A 16,278-nucleotide genomic window follows, 5' to 3' on the forward strand; every position below is an offset into this window, starting at 1 on the left:
AAAATTGAGAAAATTTGAGGCCGGACAATGTAATAGGATAGAAAATAACCCCCCACCTTTTTTTTTTGAGACAGAGTCTTGCTCTGTCACCCAGGATGAAGTGCAGTGGCACCATCTCGGCTCATTGCAACCTCCGCCTCCCAGGTTCAATTAATTCTCCTGCCTCAGCCTCCCGAGTAGCTGGAATTACAAGTGCCTGCCACCACACACAGCTAATTTTTGTATTTTTAGTAGAGATGGGGTTTCACCATGTTGGCCAGGCCGGTCCCGAACCTCTGCCCTCAAGTGATCTGCCTGCCTCAGCCTCCCAAAGTGCTGGGATTACAGGCATGAGCCACCATGCCTGGCCTTTTTTTCTTTTTTTTTTTTTTTTGAGACGGAGTTTCTCTCTTGTCACCCAGGCTGGAGTGCAATGGTGCGATCTTGGCTGACTGCAAACACTGCCTCCCAGGCTCAACCAATTCTCCTGCCTCATCCTCCCAAGTAGCTGGGATTATAGGCGCCTGCCACCACGCCTAGTTAATTTTTATATTTTTAGTACAGATGGGTTTTCATCATGTTGGCCAGGCTGGTCTTGAACTCCTGACCTCAGGTGATCCACCTGCCTTGGCCTCCCAAAGTGCTGGGAGTGAGCCACCACACCCAGCTGAAAAGTACAGGGGTGAGACACCATGCCCAGCTGAAAAACCCATTTTCTGAGGAGAAATTCAAACCAGCTGCAGAAATTTGCATAAGTAACTAGGAGCTAAATGTTCATTGCCAAGACAATGGGGAAAATGTCCCCAGGGCATGTCAGAGACCATTGCAGCAGCCCCTTCCATCACAGGCCCAGAGGCCTAGGGAAAAAAAATGATTTTGTGGGCCGGGCCCAGGGCCCCCCTGCTATGTGCAGCATAGGGACTTGGTGCCCTGCATCCCAGCTGCTCTAGCTATGGCTAAAAGGGACCGAGGTACATCTTGGGCCATGGCTTCAAAGCATGCAAGCTCCAAACCTTGGCAGCTTTCATGTGGTATTGAGCCTGCATGTACACAGAAGTCAAGAATTGAGGTTTAGGAACCTGTGCCTAGATTTCAGAGGACATATGGAAATGGCTGGATGTCCAGGCAGAAGTTGGCTACAGGGGCGATGCCTTCATGGAGAGCCTCTGCTAGGGCAGTGTGGATTGGAAATGGATTGGAGCCCCCACACAGAGTCCCCATTGGGGCACTGCCTAGTGGAGCTGTGAGTAGAGGGCCACCATCCTCCAGACCCCAGAATGGTAGATGCACCAACATCTTGCACTGTGTGCTTGGAAAAGCTGCATTCAATGATCATTCTGGAGCTTTAATATTTGACTGTCCCACTGGATTTCGGACTTGCATGAGGTCTTTAGCCCCTGTGTTTTGGCCAATTTCTCCCATTTGGAATGGCTGTATTTATCCAATGTCTGTACCCTCATTGTATGGGGTACATTCTAGGAAGTAACTAACTTGCTTTTTATTTTACAGGCTTATAGATGGAAGGGACTTGCCTTGTCTCAGTTGAGAATTTGGACTGTGGACTTTTGAGTTAATGCTGAAATAAGACTTTGGGGGACTTTTGGGAAGGCATGATTGGTTTTGAAATGTGAGGACATGAGATTTGGGAGGGGTTGGGGGTGGAATGATGCCGAGACCAGCTCAGTCGTGGAGGCCCTAACTCAGCGGCACTAGAGGAATTAAAGACACACACACAGAAATATAGAGTGTGGAGTGGGAAATCAGGGGGCTGGCAGCCTTCAGAGCTGAGAACCATGAACAGAGTTTTACCCACATATTTATTGACAGCAAGCCAATGATAAGCATTGTTTCTATAGATTATAGATTAAAATGGGAAACAAAGGGATGGGCCGAAACAAAGGGATGGGCTCTGGCTAGTTATCTGCAGCAGAAACATGTCCTTAAGGCACAGATCACTCATGCTATTGTTTGTGGTTTAGGAACGCCTTAAGTGGTTTTCTGTCCTGGGTGGGCCAGGTGTTCCTTGTCCTCATTTCAGTAAACCCACAACCTTCAGCATGGGCATCATAGCCATCACGAGCATGTCACAGTGCTGCAGAGATTTTGTATATGGCCAGTTTTGGGGCCAGTTTATGGCCAGATTTGGGGGCCTGTTCCCAACATGTTCCCCCTTTTGGTTTTTGCAAAATGACAAAAGCAAAGGCGGCTTTATCACGATGAGCCACTTCTCACAGGAGTCGGGATCTGCATTTGCAGACTATACAAAGACAAACAACACAGATTAATAGCAAAATCATTATTGAAATCATAGAGCCTCCAAGTGTTTTTATCCATTTTAATGGGTTAATAGCTGCTAATCCGTCTGCAGTTCCTTCAAGTACTCCAGTTCCTGGTGTTAAGGTCAGGTGTGCCTGGGATGCCTTAAATATTTGTACTTTTAATTTTGCAATATCCAAAGAGAAGTTTGTAGAGTATCCTTCTAGATGCTTTTTAATTCTTTCTTAAATTTTGATCTTATTAAGAGCCATTAATAGTTTCCACAAATCCTTATGTTTAGCTTCTAGAGCAGGCCGTATCATTTGAGGTTGAGGTGCCACTATACCGCCATGTTTCCAGACAATAGGAACTCTTGCCATATTTCTTACCATTTCTACCATCTGACTGTTTTGTTTAGACCAGCTGAACATAGTGTGGCTGTGGCACGCAGACTAAGAGGTATAATTCAAGCTAAACATCTCCTTAGGGGACCAATCAATAATGATTCCATAGGAATCGCTGCGCAGCACCTCTGCCTGTTCTGCAATGCAGTCTTCCTAAATAAGTATGTTCATTATTTCTGGCCAGGTCCAATTCTTTTACAAATAGATTTTTGAGGGTGGTATGCCTGAATTATAGGAGCAGATTCATTATGGTAAATACTGAGACTAGAAAGCATGTGTAAATGTGTTATAGAGTGATTACATCCAGGCATTATTGCTAGCCAAGATTGATAAATATGCCTAATAAGTATAATTGTTCTCTGTGTCAGCCCTTGTTGAAGCAATACTCATGGCAATGGTGATCACTGCTATCATAGCTACCATTAAATTACTCATTGTGACTGGTTGTCCCACTTTCCTCAGGTTTTCTTCCACCATCTGTGACAGTTTCTTGATCTGTCCTCTGGTTGGTGGCTGTGTTCAATGGGTGTTGCTTGTGACAGTTGGGGTCCTCCTTAGCATCAGTCTTGACATGGCTGCAACTGGGGGGTCCTCGGGATCCTCTTGGAATCTCTTCCTCAGCATCTGGCTCATGATAAGGTTTCAGCTGTCTTGATAGTATCCAAATTGGCTGTTGATTCAGTCCTGGAGAAACACAAGCATAACCTCTATGCCAAGTTATTATTTTACCTATTTCCCAACTTTTTGTCATCAGATCTCTCCATTAAACCAGTTGTTCTGCTTCTGTCTTTGCAGCTGGTTTCTGTAGATGCTGTTCAGCTGCTGATAGCACCTGGCCTTTAGGCAGGCTCAAAAAATTTAAAGTCAATAATGCTAGATTCAATTGTATATGAGGTGTCCTGTAGTCCCTGTTTTCCCCCTTTTGCTTTTGCAACTGCTGTTTCAGGGACTATGTTTCAAAGACTATGGCTTGTCTTTGAGAATTATATGGGACACCAATAATGTGTTTAATATTCCATACAGAGAGAAATGTAGCTAGAACTTGGCTAGTATAGCCTGGGGCATTATCTGTTTTAGTAGAAGCTGGAATGCCCATCACTGCAAAACACTGCAAAAGGTGACGTTTAACACAGGCAGAAGACTCTCCTGATTGGCATGTAGCCCAGACAAAGTGAGAAAAGGTGTCCACACATACATGTACCTAAGCTAGTCTCCTGAATGAGAGAACATGTGTGACATCTATTTGCCAAAAAGAATTAGGTTCCAATCCTCAAGGATTAACTCCTCCTGTAAACGATGAGGAATGCACCATTTGGCAAGTTGGGCATCACTGGATAGAAAATAGATTACTCATGGCATAGGTAGGAATGCCTAGAGCAGGTTGCATCCAATTAATGCCCCACAGTAATTTTTGAAAGTCATTTAATGTTTTCAATTGAGCCCTACGTATGGTTACTTTCTGTGGCACTATTGTAGTGTCATTTACTAAGGTCCCGAAGTAGGAGTAAGGAGTAGTAGTCTAAATTTTGTCAGGAGCTATAATTAAACCAGCATGAGAAATCACATTTTGCAAGTGATCATAACATTGGAGTAATATTTCTCGAGTGGGGGCAGCACAAACTATATCACCCATATAATGAATAATGTAACACTGTGAAAATTTTTTACAAGTAGGTTCAATTGCTTGCCCTACATACATCTGGCAAATTGTTGGACTGTTTAACACGCCCTGTGGCAACACTTTCCAATGAAAACACTTAGCAGACTGTAGGTTGTGTACACAGGAATTGTAAATGCAAACTATTCACAGTCTTGCTCAGCTAAGGGGATAGCAAAGAAAGTCTTTTAAATCTATGACTATTAAAGGCCAATTTTTTGGAATCATAGTAGGAGAAGGCAGTGCTGGCTGCAATATCCCCATAGGTTGTATAACTGAATTAATGGCTCTAAAGTCAGTTAACATTCTCCATTTACCTGTTTTTTTTCTTACTTATGAAAACTGGAGAATTCCAAGGGGAAAATGTTGAAGCTATGTGTCCTTTTTCCAATTGTTCATTAACTAAGTCCTCTAAAGCCTCCAGTTTCTCTTTACTTAGTGGCCATTGTTCTATCCAAATTGGCTTATTTGTTAACCATTTTTAAGGTATAGGTTCTGGAGGCTTAACAATGGCCTCCATCAAAAATCTTATCCCAAACCTTGGCAGGAACTTTGTCTTTCCACTTGAAGCAGTTCCTTCAAACCTTGCAAATTTTTTCCTAGTCCCATACCAGGGACATACCCCATTTCATGCATCATATGTTGACTTTGAGGGCTGTATAATTGCTCTGGAATTAGAACTTGTGCTCCCCATTGTTGTAATAAATCTCTCCCCCATAAATTTATAGGTGCAGAAGTTATAATTGGTTGAATAGTCCCAGGTTGTCCATCGGGCCCTTCACAATGCAAAATATAACTATTTTGATATACTTCAGGGGCTTTACCAACTCCAACTATATTAAATTGAGCGGGTTGAATTGACCATGCGGATGGCCAGTGCTGTAGAGAAATGATGGAAATGTCCACTCCTGTATCTACCAAACCTTTAAATTTCTTTCCCTGAATAGTTATTCCACAGGTAGGACGTTTATCACAATTTGATTCACCCAATAAGCTGCTTTGCCTTGTTTATTTTTGCTTCCAAATCCTCCTGTTTGTTTAATTTTACTTTTCCCCATTTTCACATACGGCACAATCAGGAGCTGTGCTATGCACTCTCCTGGCTCTGCTTTCCAGGGAACAGAAGTAGATATAACAATTTGAATTTCTCCATTGTAATCTGAATCAATGACTCCTGTATGTACTTGCACTCCTTTTATATTTAAACTAGATCTACCTAGAAGTAATCCTATCATCCCCGCTGGCAAGGGTCCACAGACCCCTGTTGGAACTTTTTGCAGGGGTTCCCCAGGCAGAAGACTGACAGATTTTGTGCAGCATAAATCTACCACGGCACTACCAGCTGTGGCGGGGGACAGACATTGTACATGGGTGAAGGGATGGCCTGAGCCGGAAATGCCCCGGTTTGCAATGGGTCTCGGGATGGGCCCCTCATGGCATTTCCCGAAATCACATTTCCATCCTTCTCAAATTTAGAATGACGCTGATTGGCCCAATGCTTCCCTTTTTTACACTTCGGGCATAGACCTGGTTCATACTGATTGATAGCTTGTTTAAACTCTTTGAGTAATTTAAAAGGAAAAGACTCAAACATAGGTGTAATATTTCCCTGTTGATTAGGTGGGTGTATTCTAACAGGGAACTTCCAAGCATCTATATCACCCTCTTGTCTAGCTTGCTGAATTCCTGCCTGAATAGAACTGAGAGCGGTCGCTCGAGGTGCTGTTTGAACAGTCACTGGGGCAACTACTTTTCACCCAGTGTCCTCTGGAAAAGAAAGATCTGGAGGGTCAGGCCACTCTTTTTCTTCAAAATTATGAGGGGGTGGAGAAGGGTAGGGATGAACCTCTTCCTCCTTTGCCACTTTAACTTTAGCTGGCAAACAAACCTGCTCTGTCACCTCTTCTGTTACTTCATTGTACTCTACTTCCTCTTCATCATCAGTGTGAAAAGGTTCCAAGGTGGAATGAACCAGAGCCCACACCTGTCCCATTGTTACCCTGATGCTTCTGAGCTCCCCTTCTTACTCATCACAGGGATTGCTTAAGAGTATTCGAGTGTCCTCCAGCTTAGTTCCACGTTCTCCAACCGTCGCTCCAGCGACCCTCCAACACGGGTTTCGAGCCCCACACATGGGCACCACTTGCTGAGACCAGCTCGGTCATGGAGACCCTAACTCAGCGGCATTAGAGGAATTAAAGACACACACACAGAAATATAGAGTGTGGAGTGGGAAATCAGGGGACTGGCAGCCTTCAGAGCTGATAGCCAGGAACAGAGTTTTACCCACAATAAATAAAAAGTATTTATTGACAGCAAGCCAGTGATAAGCATTGTTTCTATAGATTATAGATTAAATAAAATGGGAAACAAAGGGATGGGCTCTGGCTGGTTATCTCCAGCAGGAACATGTCCCTAAGGCACAGATCGCTCATGCTATTATTTGTGGCTTAGGAATGCCTTAAGCGGTTTTCCGCCCTGCGTGGGCCAGGTGTTCCTCGTCCTCATTCCAGTAAACCTACAACCTTCAGTGTGGGTGTCATAGCCATCATGAGCATGTCACGGTGCTGCAGAGATTTTGTTTATGGCCAGTTTGGGGGCCAGTTTATGGCCAGATTTGGGGGCCTATTCCCAACAGAATATGGTTTGGCTGTGTCCCCACCCAAATCTCATCTTGAATTGTAGCTCCCATAATTCCCACGTTGTGGGAGGGACCCAGTGGGAGATAACTGAATCATGGGGGCAGTTTCCCCCATACTGTTCTCGTGGTAGTGAGTAAGTCACATGAGAGCTGATGGTTTTATAAGGGGAAAACTCTTTGGCTTGGTTATTATTCTCTCTTGCCTGCTGCTATGTAAGACATGCCTTTTGCCTTCCACCATGATTATGAGGCCTCCCCAGCCATGTGGAACTCTAAGTCCATTAAACCTCAGTCTCAGGTATGTCTTTATCAGCAGCGTGAAAATGGACTAACACGGTCATGGTAACAGTCAGGGTAGTGTTAGTATGTTCTGAGTCAGGGTCAGGTTCAGAGTGAAGTTCAAAGTGACCATCAGAGTCAAGGTCAGAGTCAGACTCAGAGTGAGACACATGACCAGGAAGGGTCTAGGTGAGAGTGAGGGTGAAGGTCAGCCTGTGTGTCAAGGTCAGGGTAAAGGTCAGCAACAGGGTCACGGTTAGAGTCAGGGCCATTATCAAGTTCAGGGTAAGGGTGTGTTGGGCTGAGGCTCAGGGTCAGGTTAAAGATATCAGAGACATGATCAAGATGAGAGTCAAGGTCAGGATCAGCAACCTCTGCCCTACTTCCTAGCACCAGGTGCTGGCTGTTGTGAATGCAACTTTCTGAAATGCTCTTCCTCCATTTATCTGCATGTCTTCCTCCTTCACGTGCTTGGACCATTTAATGCTGCCTCACGCTCCCTGCCCTTTCACTAGGATGTGAGTGTCACAAAGACAGTGATCTTGGAATGAAATGTTTTGCTCACTAATGGGTCCCAGGCAGTTAGAAGAGTGCTTGGGCCGGAGGAGGCACTCGATAAGAGTTTAGTATCGATGAGTGTGCATAAAAGTATTCCTTGAAAAAAGTACATCTGGGAATAAAATATAAAAGCTGTTCACAGTAGTTCTCTCTGGAGTGGAATTATAAGAAAGCTTCATGGTCAATTTGATATATGTTCATATTGTTTTTTTTTTTTTGAGATGGAGTCTTGCTCTGTCACCCAGGCTGGAGTGCAGTGGCGCGATCTCAGCTCACTGCAAGCTCCGCCTCTCGAGTTCGCACCATTCTCCTGCCTCAGCCTCCCGAATAGCTGGGACTACAGACGCCCGCCACCATGCCCAGCTAATTTTTTGTATTTTTAATAGAGACGGGGTTTCACCTTGTTAGCCAGGATGGTCTCAATCTCCTAACCTCGTGATCTGCCCATCTCGGCCTCCCAAAGTGCTGGGATTACAGGCGTGAGCCACCGTGCCCAGCCTGTTTTGATTCTTAAAAACTAACACTGAATGGGTCTTTCCATCTTGAGAAAAAACAAAGAACTTTTAGGCAAAGTGCTTGACAGAGTGATTGATTGGCACAGGTACTCACCAAACTGTAGCTATGAATTAAACTTCAAACAACTGGCGTCAGCCTTCCTGCAAACCCTGGAGCATCGTCAAAGAAACGCTACTCTAGTTCCCTCATCCAAGAGTAAAAACAGAGAGGCAAGACAAGATAGAAGGTCTTTATTCAATAGCAGATGAGAGACTATGCCTCAGTCCTCTGAGGGGATGCATTTCCCCCACATACCATTCCTTTCCCACGTTTCCATTCTCTGCAGGCTACAGCTTGATGGAAAAAAGGGGATTGTTCTAGAGGTACTTATACACAACCTTTGAGGGCACAGTTTGGAGGTGGAGTCGCACAGGACATTTGTAAAAGTAGGACAGCAAAGTTTCACTGTAGCCCACGAGGAAGTAGTACTTGTGTGGAGACAACTGCCTCAGGACCACGGCACAGATCTCCAACTGGTTACCCCGGCGCTTTAAAACCAGCTGGTCAGCCAGGCAGCCTGGGAAGGTACCCCACATGAACTTGCGAAGGAAAACATCCTCCACCGTTCGCTCTGCGGCATGGTCCTCTCCATCCAGGTTACCTGAAGAGGGAAGGGCATAATAGAAGAATCAGCCTCATTGCCCCAGGGCCCTGCCATAACTCCAGAGTCAACATCCAAAAGCGCTGAGCACAATCCCACCCTTCACCCCCAGCCTCTTCTCTTTTCTTCTGCTAATGGAATAAGAAAAATAACACTTTAAAGTTCAAAGTATGTTATGTCATTAATTCCCAAGCCAATTCAGTTTAGTAGGTATTATCATTATCCTTATTTTACAAAAAGGAAGATGGAGGCCTGAGTCAGGGTACAAAACTCAAGATGATGCCACCACATCTAGCCCCTTTCCTGCTTTCTTGGCTGCCTTATAAAAACACTGGTCATCCCATGGGCCAGAAAGATGAGGCTACCAGCTATTTTTGAGATTAGGGACATGAGCTAGGCCCAGGGCTTCCACCAGTGGGTTCCTCAGTGTGAACTGTGGATCCCCTGCAGCCCTTACAATGTCCACTAAGAGTCTGCACACCTACATCCAAACCTCAGACCAGAACCTGAAAGAGTGGGAGACAAGCATCTCTCTCTCTTTTTTTTTTTTTTTTTTTTTTTTTTTGAGATGGAGTCTCACTCTGTCGTCCAGGCTGGAGTGCAGTGGCGTGATCTCGGCTCACTGCAACCTCCGCCTCTTGGGTTCAAACAATTCTCTGCCTCAGCCTCCTGAATAGCTGGGATTGCAGGCGCCCGCCACTACGCCCAGCTAATTTTTTTGTATTTTTAGTAGAGATGGGGTTTCACCATCTTGGCCAGGTTGGTATTGAACTCCTGACCTCAGGATCCACCCTCCTCGGCCTCCCAAAGTGCTGGGATTACAGGCGTGAGCCACCGTGCCAGGCAAGCATCTGTATTTTAAGTAAGTTCTCTAGATGCATCTCAAACATCCAAGAACCCCTGTACTAAACAAAGCACAGTTGGTTATCAATTGTTCACAATAGTTATATTCTATAAAGTCACTGCCAACACTGACTTAGTGAATACTGAACCATTGCTCCTAGGTGAAATACAGGGTTAGATTCCTTTCAGCCTCTGGGCACCGTATTTTTGTTAACAAATCAATACATAACCTAGTTTCCTTTGTGTTTCTGTTTAAAGACACCTTGTTTAATATATATGGTAGATTCACTAACATTGAATTCAGGGCCAAGAGCAACTCATGACTGAAGAAAGATTCTCTAATACATGTATGTTCTCCCTAAGGCACGTCACAGCCTTCTCCCGCTTAGGAACACTAGATAGCACTTCAGCATTGCAAGGCCATTTTAAACAGCAAAATCACTAACAAAAAGCACGAAAATGCAAATTAAAAAAAAAAGATTCTAGACCATAAAAAGGACACCTTTTACAGTACGAGAGCTGAAACTAGGCAGAGCCTTGTCGACCTCAGCTCGGGACATGCACCTGGGGTGGCAGCTCCACCCACATCTCAGAGTGACCTTGAGAGTGCCCAGAGTGTTGATTTGGGGCTTACAAATAAATTTTAGTCAGTAGAAGAATCTGAAAATATGGAATTCATGAATAACGAGGGTTGTCTGTATATATTTACAGAGAAAAATTTGTGCTTTAGTGGAAAACTGCATTCCTTAGAGCACACTGTTCAGGGTTATCAGATTCTGCAACGGTTTCACTCCTTTCCTTGACTCTGAGCTATTTTACAGCTCTGTAAATTACAGATAACTGACAGGAATGCAAAATAATTCTTGTCTGTAGACATGCAAATAATTTCTGTTCAGTGGAGGATCAATTGAGTCCCTGCCTGCCATGGAAAAAGTCAGTTTTGCATCCATCTTCAAATTTGTTTCAACATCCTGATCTATATATATCTCTGCTTTTTTATGTCTCCCTTGAGTTGGTTTCATAGATTTCTGACCCTAGCATTATTTCCTGAGTTAAAGAAAACCTGTGACACGTGTTCATTTTGTTTACATGACAGTCGGATTGAGTGCTCCTTTTGGAGGCCTGGGGTCCGCTCACCTGTGTGCAGCGACAGCCAGCCTTTACGGTGGGCGATGTAGTGCGGCGCGTGTGCCTCCTCGTAGGTCACCGGCTTGTCCCCCTTGCTTACGCGTACTCGGGCCGCCCGGTTCTAGGAGCAAAAGGGGCCGTGACTCCACGAGATCCCCGATCCAGACCCCTACTTCGCGCCATGTCCCCCCAGTCAGCTGGCACTGTTCCCCGGCCCCAATCCCCTGATCCCTAAGCCCCGACCCTAGCCCCGCCTCGGACCCCAGCGACACGCCCCCTTCAGCCCGCACGGCTTCCCCGGCCCCCGGCCCCCCGGCCCCCAGGCCCCCAGGCCCCTGCCCCGGCGGTGCTCACCTTGGCGCAGACCGGGGAGGTGTGCAGGGCGCGCCAAGCGCAAGGCAGCTCTCGGCTCCAGGACAGCACCTGTGGAGGGAGGGCGCGTGAGGCGGAAACTAGGGACCCCACCTCCGACTCGCAGGGACCTGCCGAGTCGCCCCACTCACCCGTGGCCCCAGCAACCCGCTGCACACGGAGGCCGCCATCTTGGGCCAAGCGGAGCGCGGGACGTACCACAGCGCGCTGAGGGGTGGGGACGACCGCGGACGAGACCAAGTCGGAGCTCGTACTCTGTACTCTGGCGGGGGCGGGGCAGGGCCTCTGCGGGGCGGGGCCGCGGTATGCTGCTAGCTGTTACTCCCGCCTTCCCCGCAGCCCTGTGAATGCTCAGCCTTGTGAATGCTCATCCCGCCGCTGTTCGCTCTCCCGCGGTTGCTGCTTGCATAGGGTTTCAGATCCGGAAATTTGAGGATGCGAAACGTGAGATTTTCTCTTCGACAACCTCACGCTAGTACGGGTGATGGGTGTGCGGCCCACCGGAGCCCGCCCTGCCCAACCTGCACCCTCGGGGCTCGAAGAGGAGCCAAGCGTTTCCCCAGGTCCTAGTTATGCCTCCAAATAATATTCGTAGAAAAACAAAACAGAAAAACCCTCCAGACTTTTATCCACAAATAAAGAAGAAACATATTTTGGTTAAAACGTCACCCAATTCTTCAAGGATGACTTACGCAGTTATGCAAGAATGGGTTTGCCACATGTGACCACAGTGGTGACTGGCCCCTGAGGAAGGAAAATTTTAAGTACGGGGAAGGGGCCGGAGGGCAAGGAGATTCGTGAGAATATCGCAGGGCCTGTAATGCTGAAACCAGTGCGTCGCCACTATTATTGGTATCCAGTAATTATTAATGTCAAACGGAAAAATAGCAACGCGGGATATTTTATTTTAGAAGTCACCACGGTCATGGAAAAAACACGGGCTCTGGAGTCAGACCCATGTATAACAATCTTTGTACAGTTAAGACTCAGTTCTATTATCTATAAAATGGGCCTTAATAATAGTACTACCTTATAGAGCTATTAGGATCAAGAGAATATTTAATCAATGATGGGTTGTGTTTGGTTGAGTGATGTGAAATTGCCAATGTTTTGGCCGTTCTGGGTCTACATCATTCCCCTTAATGGTACAGTACTTGCATACTGCTGCGGTTTCCTGTCAGGGGGAGGACTGGATTATGATCCATGGGAAGGGGAAATGGAAGAACGGTGGAAATGAGTTGCCCATGACCACACTGAGAAGAGGGAAAGAGGGACCAAGACACAAGTCTCTTGACTTCAGTCCAGCCCATTTCCCATGACCAAGATTCCTCTGATTACATGAAGGTGGGTTCTCAAAAAACCCGTAATAAAAGGACAAGGTCTTCCATGTCCACTTCACCAGAAATGTTTTATTCTTACTTTTTAGGAACTGCGGCCCCCAACTGTTATGCATATTGAATAAAGGGACAGAACAGGGATGAGGTGCCCTCCAATGCATACTTTGCAAATGTAAGAACTTTCAACATTTCCTAAGAAATCCTTTTCAACTGACAATTATTTTTTAAAGTTTTCATAATGTTCAATAATTTTATAATTGTTAAGTTTCATTAATTTGCTCCAAGGTGGTGAGGAACATGGGATGTGGCATCTGAATTGCCTGAGTCCAAATCGTGGACCCAATGCTTCCTGGCTGTGTAATTTGGACAAGTGACTGAACCTTCTGAGCCTCGGTTTCTCTCATCTGTAAACTGGGGACAATAATGGTGGTTGTGAGAAGTACAGTATGATGTGCCTGGCAGAGGGAGAGAGCAGTTGTGGGTTTTGTTGTTGTTTTTAACGAGTCCCTGATAGCCACATATCCCGTTAGGGAGATGAGCCAGCTATTGAGGGTTCTGTGAGAACTCATAGCAACACCACCCTAATCAGAGGAAAGGGGAAGGAGAAAGGGAAACAAGATCCTTGGGCTGATCAGAGGCAGAGGTGGCAATGGCACAACACCTATTGGGGCCCAAGGTGGGCAGGGGCCACACCACGAAGGCTGTGGTTGGGAATCAAGTTTAGCCCATAAAGCAGTAGGCAATCAAATGATCAAATTTATGCTTTCCTCTATTCAAGCCATTCTCCCTTATGCCTGAGATCTCTCTCTGGAATTCCAAACCGATCTAGATCTTTCCAAGCATCACAATGGCCATTTCAGTGGCAGACATTTCTGGGGTTCAAATATCTTGTTATCTATCCTTTATTAGCTTTGTTTATACTGTGATTGGGGGAAAGGGGACGTGTCGGTCTTTACATGATTAAAATTACTTAAAATGACTTTTATACATCAGTATGAATGTTATATTGTTTTAAATAATCAGCAGAAAAATCTGACTGGGGATGTTTTATTTTTCTGTAACTTCCATTTGTTGTTGTTTTGATGCACTTTCCTTCTCCTATTAATTCCATAAAGGAGGCAGTATTTCCAGGCTTCACAGAGCAGAAGATGGAGGCTCACAGACTCACCTGAGGTTACAGAAGTAGTAAATGGTAGCAGGCCTTTTTGCTCCAAAGCATGTGCTCTTTCAGTATCACTTCCTGGGGGTGAGGGTTCAGACCATGTTAGGATCAGGGAATGGCCTGGGTTTCTGTGGCTTGCTGCAGACAGCTCCCAAGTGGCCCTCAAGGACTGCCTGGACATGGAAAGGCCAGGAGCATATGACCCCATGTGAAAGACCCATCTGCACCCTTCCTGGAGCCTAATGCAGAGACAGGGATGTAAAACTGCTTTTTCTCTGACATGAGCCTTTGTTCTGTACATAATAACCAAGAACCAGAAGTTGCTCCTATGCTCTCAAAGCAGTGATTTGCAATTGCATGACAGAGCCCCCTGGGTTCCACACCACCTCTGTGGGGAGAGGGCAGGCACTCACACTTTTAAAATGCCCCTTAGATGATTTCAATTTGCAGTCGGGGCTGAGAACCAGTGTCCTGAACTCACTCAGTTTATTTGGGAGACTCCCAAAATGTGTATTTGCAGAGCCCCCTTTCGGGGAGAGTGCTGTTGGATGCCCCTGGAAGATTATGGCAGCTCTCTAAGGAACATAGCCATAGTCCACGCCCACCACTCTTGGTCACAAGGGCAGAAGAAGGGAGGAGGGGTCTGCTGGGAGGTCAGGACTTCTTTGAGATGATCTGTCCAGTTGGGTGCAGCACAGCCACCATGGGCTCACCCAGAGTGCTCAGGGGATACAGCACTGGCTGGGCCATGGAGAGACACTGTGTAAAAGGGAGCTGTCAGCCCCCTTGTACTTCCAGAGCCTGAAGAGTTTCAGAATCCAGCCTGGGGGCGGTGGGGTGACATCTCCCTTCCTGTTGGCTGCAGGGTGAGCCGATATCACTCCACTCATGGTGGTTCTCTTTACAGCTGACTTATCCTAACTCAGAACTGCTGACACTTTACACTTTGTAAACCTATGGTTTTTACATTATTCCTTGTGATTCTTTTTTTCCTAATAACTCGTTCACTAGGAAAAATCCCAGAGGCTCTCAGCTCTATTCTGAGAAATAGGTCAAACAACTGAAACCCTATGAGTAAAGCAGAGAGGCGTGTCAAACCAGATTGCCAAGACAGCTCAGCCGTTTTCCCTGTGAGCTCCTGCTCCATCCCCCCACCTCTGTTCTCCTTCTGGTGAGGCACAAGGGCTGGGTTTGGTGGGTGAGGTCCCCAGCTATAATTACTGACATCAGCTTTGCGGTCCCAAGGAATCCACTCCCCTGTTATCAGAGCTATGGGCAATTAGAAATGCCCAGTGCCACACCAGAACCCTGGGCTAAAAGTCAGAACCTGAAGAAGCCAAACTGGTGCTTAGGATAGAGGGGGTGCGGACTCAAGAAAGAGAAGACCGAGGGATGGGCTCATGAGCTCCAGCCCCTGAGACTGCCACTCCCTGGCTCCCAGAAACTGCTAGATCTAGATATAATGGGCTCAGATGAGGAGACAATGAAAATGTGCTAAGGACCAAGAAGGGCACAGAAAGGCCTCTGAACCCTTGGGTGGGCACAAATGGAGGTGCGACTGGCACCAGAGGCTGTTCTGAGAGATGTGCCCGCCAGTCAACCAGGGCCAGAGACAGGCAGAAGGGGCCCCCAGGCAGACAGCAGCATGGAAGAAACCATGGCCTCCAAAGTGTGTATGTGGCGGGGCGAGGGTGTGGTTGACGAAATGACAGGAGACCAGGACCAAGGTCATCTTGGCTCTTGTACAGCCCTGACTCATCAGTGCTCATAAAGCTGCACTCTGGTGAAATTTTGTTGGAGTCTTAGAAGAAATCAGGATAGGTTTATGGCCAAATTATTTTATTAGTGACTCAGAAAGAGGATTTTCCCTTTTACTGGGCTAATACACCACACCTGAGGAGTTGGGGTAGTTACCAGATCAGGTTTATATTGTATAAACTGCAGACCACCACCAGTTCTGCTAGGTGCTGTTTCAGTAAATTAAGATAGTATCGATGAGAAGATGCTGTTTTACATACCATTAAGAAGGAAAACTGGCTGCAAATTATCTTAAGGTACCATTGATTGATTAAAAGATGAATCCTGATCTGACATGTTAAAATGTTTGAGGCTGATGCAGAAGGCAGTTTCCTCTCCACAAACCTCATGGGTGTGCAGAATGGTGTAGACACAGAGATGGGTGCCTCACTTACCTCATGCACAGACTGGCTTTTCCACCACAGGGCAGGCACTGTATAAGCACCTTCCATTCCTACACAGGCGCTAGTAGGGGGAACTAAGGCTTGGAGAAGCCAAGTAACTTTGCTAAAGGGTCATATAATTAGTAGGAAGTAAGGCTGAGGTTCAAAACCAGGCCGGACATCCAATGTGCTGAAGCAAGCTACACCTCATCTCACAAGAGAGGCGAAGACACGCTTGTTCCTTGTCCCAAGCACTCTTCAGGCCCATTTCCTCCAAGATGGTACTTGCTTGGTTTGACACTTTCATCAAACAGGACCCCTTGTGA

General features: G+C 46.3%; 2 protein-coding genes and 1 long non-coding RNA gene across 3 annotated transcripts in view, besides 4 other annotated features; 1 reads left to right on the forward strand and 2 right to left on the reverse strand.

Annotated features, from left to right (window-relative positions):
* MRPS24 (mitochondrial ribosomal protein S24) lies at positions 8,506-11,465 on the reverse strand. The gene is made up of 4 exons (NM_032014.3): positions 11,405-11,465; positions 11,256-11,324; positions 10,911-11,022; positions 8,506-8,930 (listed from the first exon to the last, which is right to left on the reverse strand). Exons 1-4 carry the CDS (start codon positions 11,441-11,443, stop codon positions 8,647-8,649), a joined length of 504 nt encoding a protein of 167 aa, NP_114403.1. The 5' UTR covers positions 11,444-11,465; the 3' UTR covers positions 8,506-8,646.
* Positions 8,506-16,278, reverse strand: part of URGCP-MRPS24 (URGCP-MRPS24 readthrough) — a 40,039-nt gene continuing 32,266 nt past the window's right edge. The window contains exons 5-7 of the mRNA NM_001204871.2: positions 11,256-11,324; positions 10,911-11,022; positions 8,506-8,930 (exon numbers count right to left, since the gene is read on the reverse strand). Of these exons, the coding sequence (NP_001191800.1) occupies positions 10,934-11,022; positions 11,256-11,324 (158 nt within the window). The 3' untranslated portion in view covers positions 8,506-8,930; positions 10,911-10,933. The remainder of the gene's footprint in view (positions 8,931-10,910; positions 11,023-11,255; positions 11,325-16,278) is intronic.
* Positions 11,177-11,236: a silencer, noted in NCBI's record as "silent region_18129". NCBI's record gives its function as "represses an Ori minimal core promoter by ATAC-STARR-seq in GM12878 lymphoblastoid cells {active_cell/tissue: GM12878}" and the evidence as "EXISTENCE:reporter gene assay evidence [ECO:0000049][PMID:35858748]".
* Positions 11,537-11,596: a silencer, noted in NCBI's record as "silent region_18130". NCBI's record gives its function as "represses an Ori minimal core promoter by ATAC-STARR-seq in GM12878 lymphoblastoid cells {active_cell/tissue: GM12878}" and the evidence as "EXISTENCE:reporter gene assay evidence [ECO:0000049][PMID:35858748]".
* On the forward strand, positions 11,594-13,590 carry LOC124901620 (uncharacterized). The gene is made up of 2 exons (XR_007060296.1): positions 11,594-12,782; positions 12,896-13,590. It is a non-coding gene; the product is annotated as an uncharacterized LOC124901620 (long non-coding RNA).
* Positions 11,827-11,946: an enhancer, noted in NCBI's record as "active region_25921". NCBI's record gives its function as "activates an Ori minimal core promoter by ATAC-STARR-seq in GM12878 lymphoblastoid cells {active_cell/tissue: GM12878}" and the evidence as "EXISTENCE:reporter gene assay evidence [ECO:0000049][PMID:35858748]".
* Positions 13,864-14,039: a silencer, noted in NCBI's record as "fragment chr7:43911515-43911690 (GRCh37/hg19 assembly coordinates)". NCBI's record gives its function as "represses an EF-1alpha promoter that drives an FKBP-Casp9 reporter gene in an ReSE screen in HepG2 liver carcinoma cells {active_cell/tissue: HepG2}" and the evidence as "EXISTENCE:reporter gene assay evidence [ECO:0000049][PMID:32094911]".

The sequence above is a fragment of the Homo sapiens genome, chromosome 7 (genome assembly GCF_000001405.40).
Source record: "Homo sapiens chromosome 7, GRCh38.p14 Primary Assembly".
In the NCBI taxonomy this organism is placed as follows: domain Eukaryota; kingdom Metazoa; phylum Chordata; class Mammalia; order Primates; family Hominidae; genus Homo; species Homo sapiens.

Coding starts and splice junctions, on each gene's coding strand:
- MRPS24 (NM_032014.3), bottom strand. CDS start 11,443: ATGGCGGCCTCCGTGTGCAGCGGGTTGCTGGGGCCACGG. Junction 11,325..11,404: donor GCGGGTTGCTGGGGCCACGG/GTGAGTGGGGCG, acceptor CTCCCTCCACAG/GTGCTGTCCTGGAGCCGAGA. Junction 8,931..10,910: donor CTGGCTGTCGCTGCACACAG/GTGAGCGGACCC, acceptor TTCCCTCTTCAG/GTAACCTGGATGGAGAGGAC.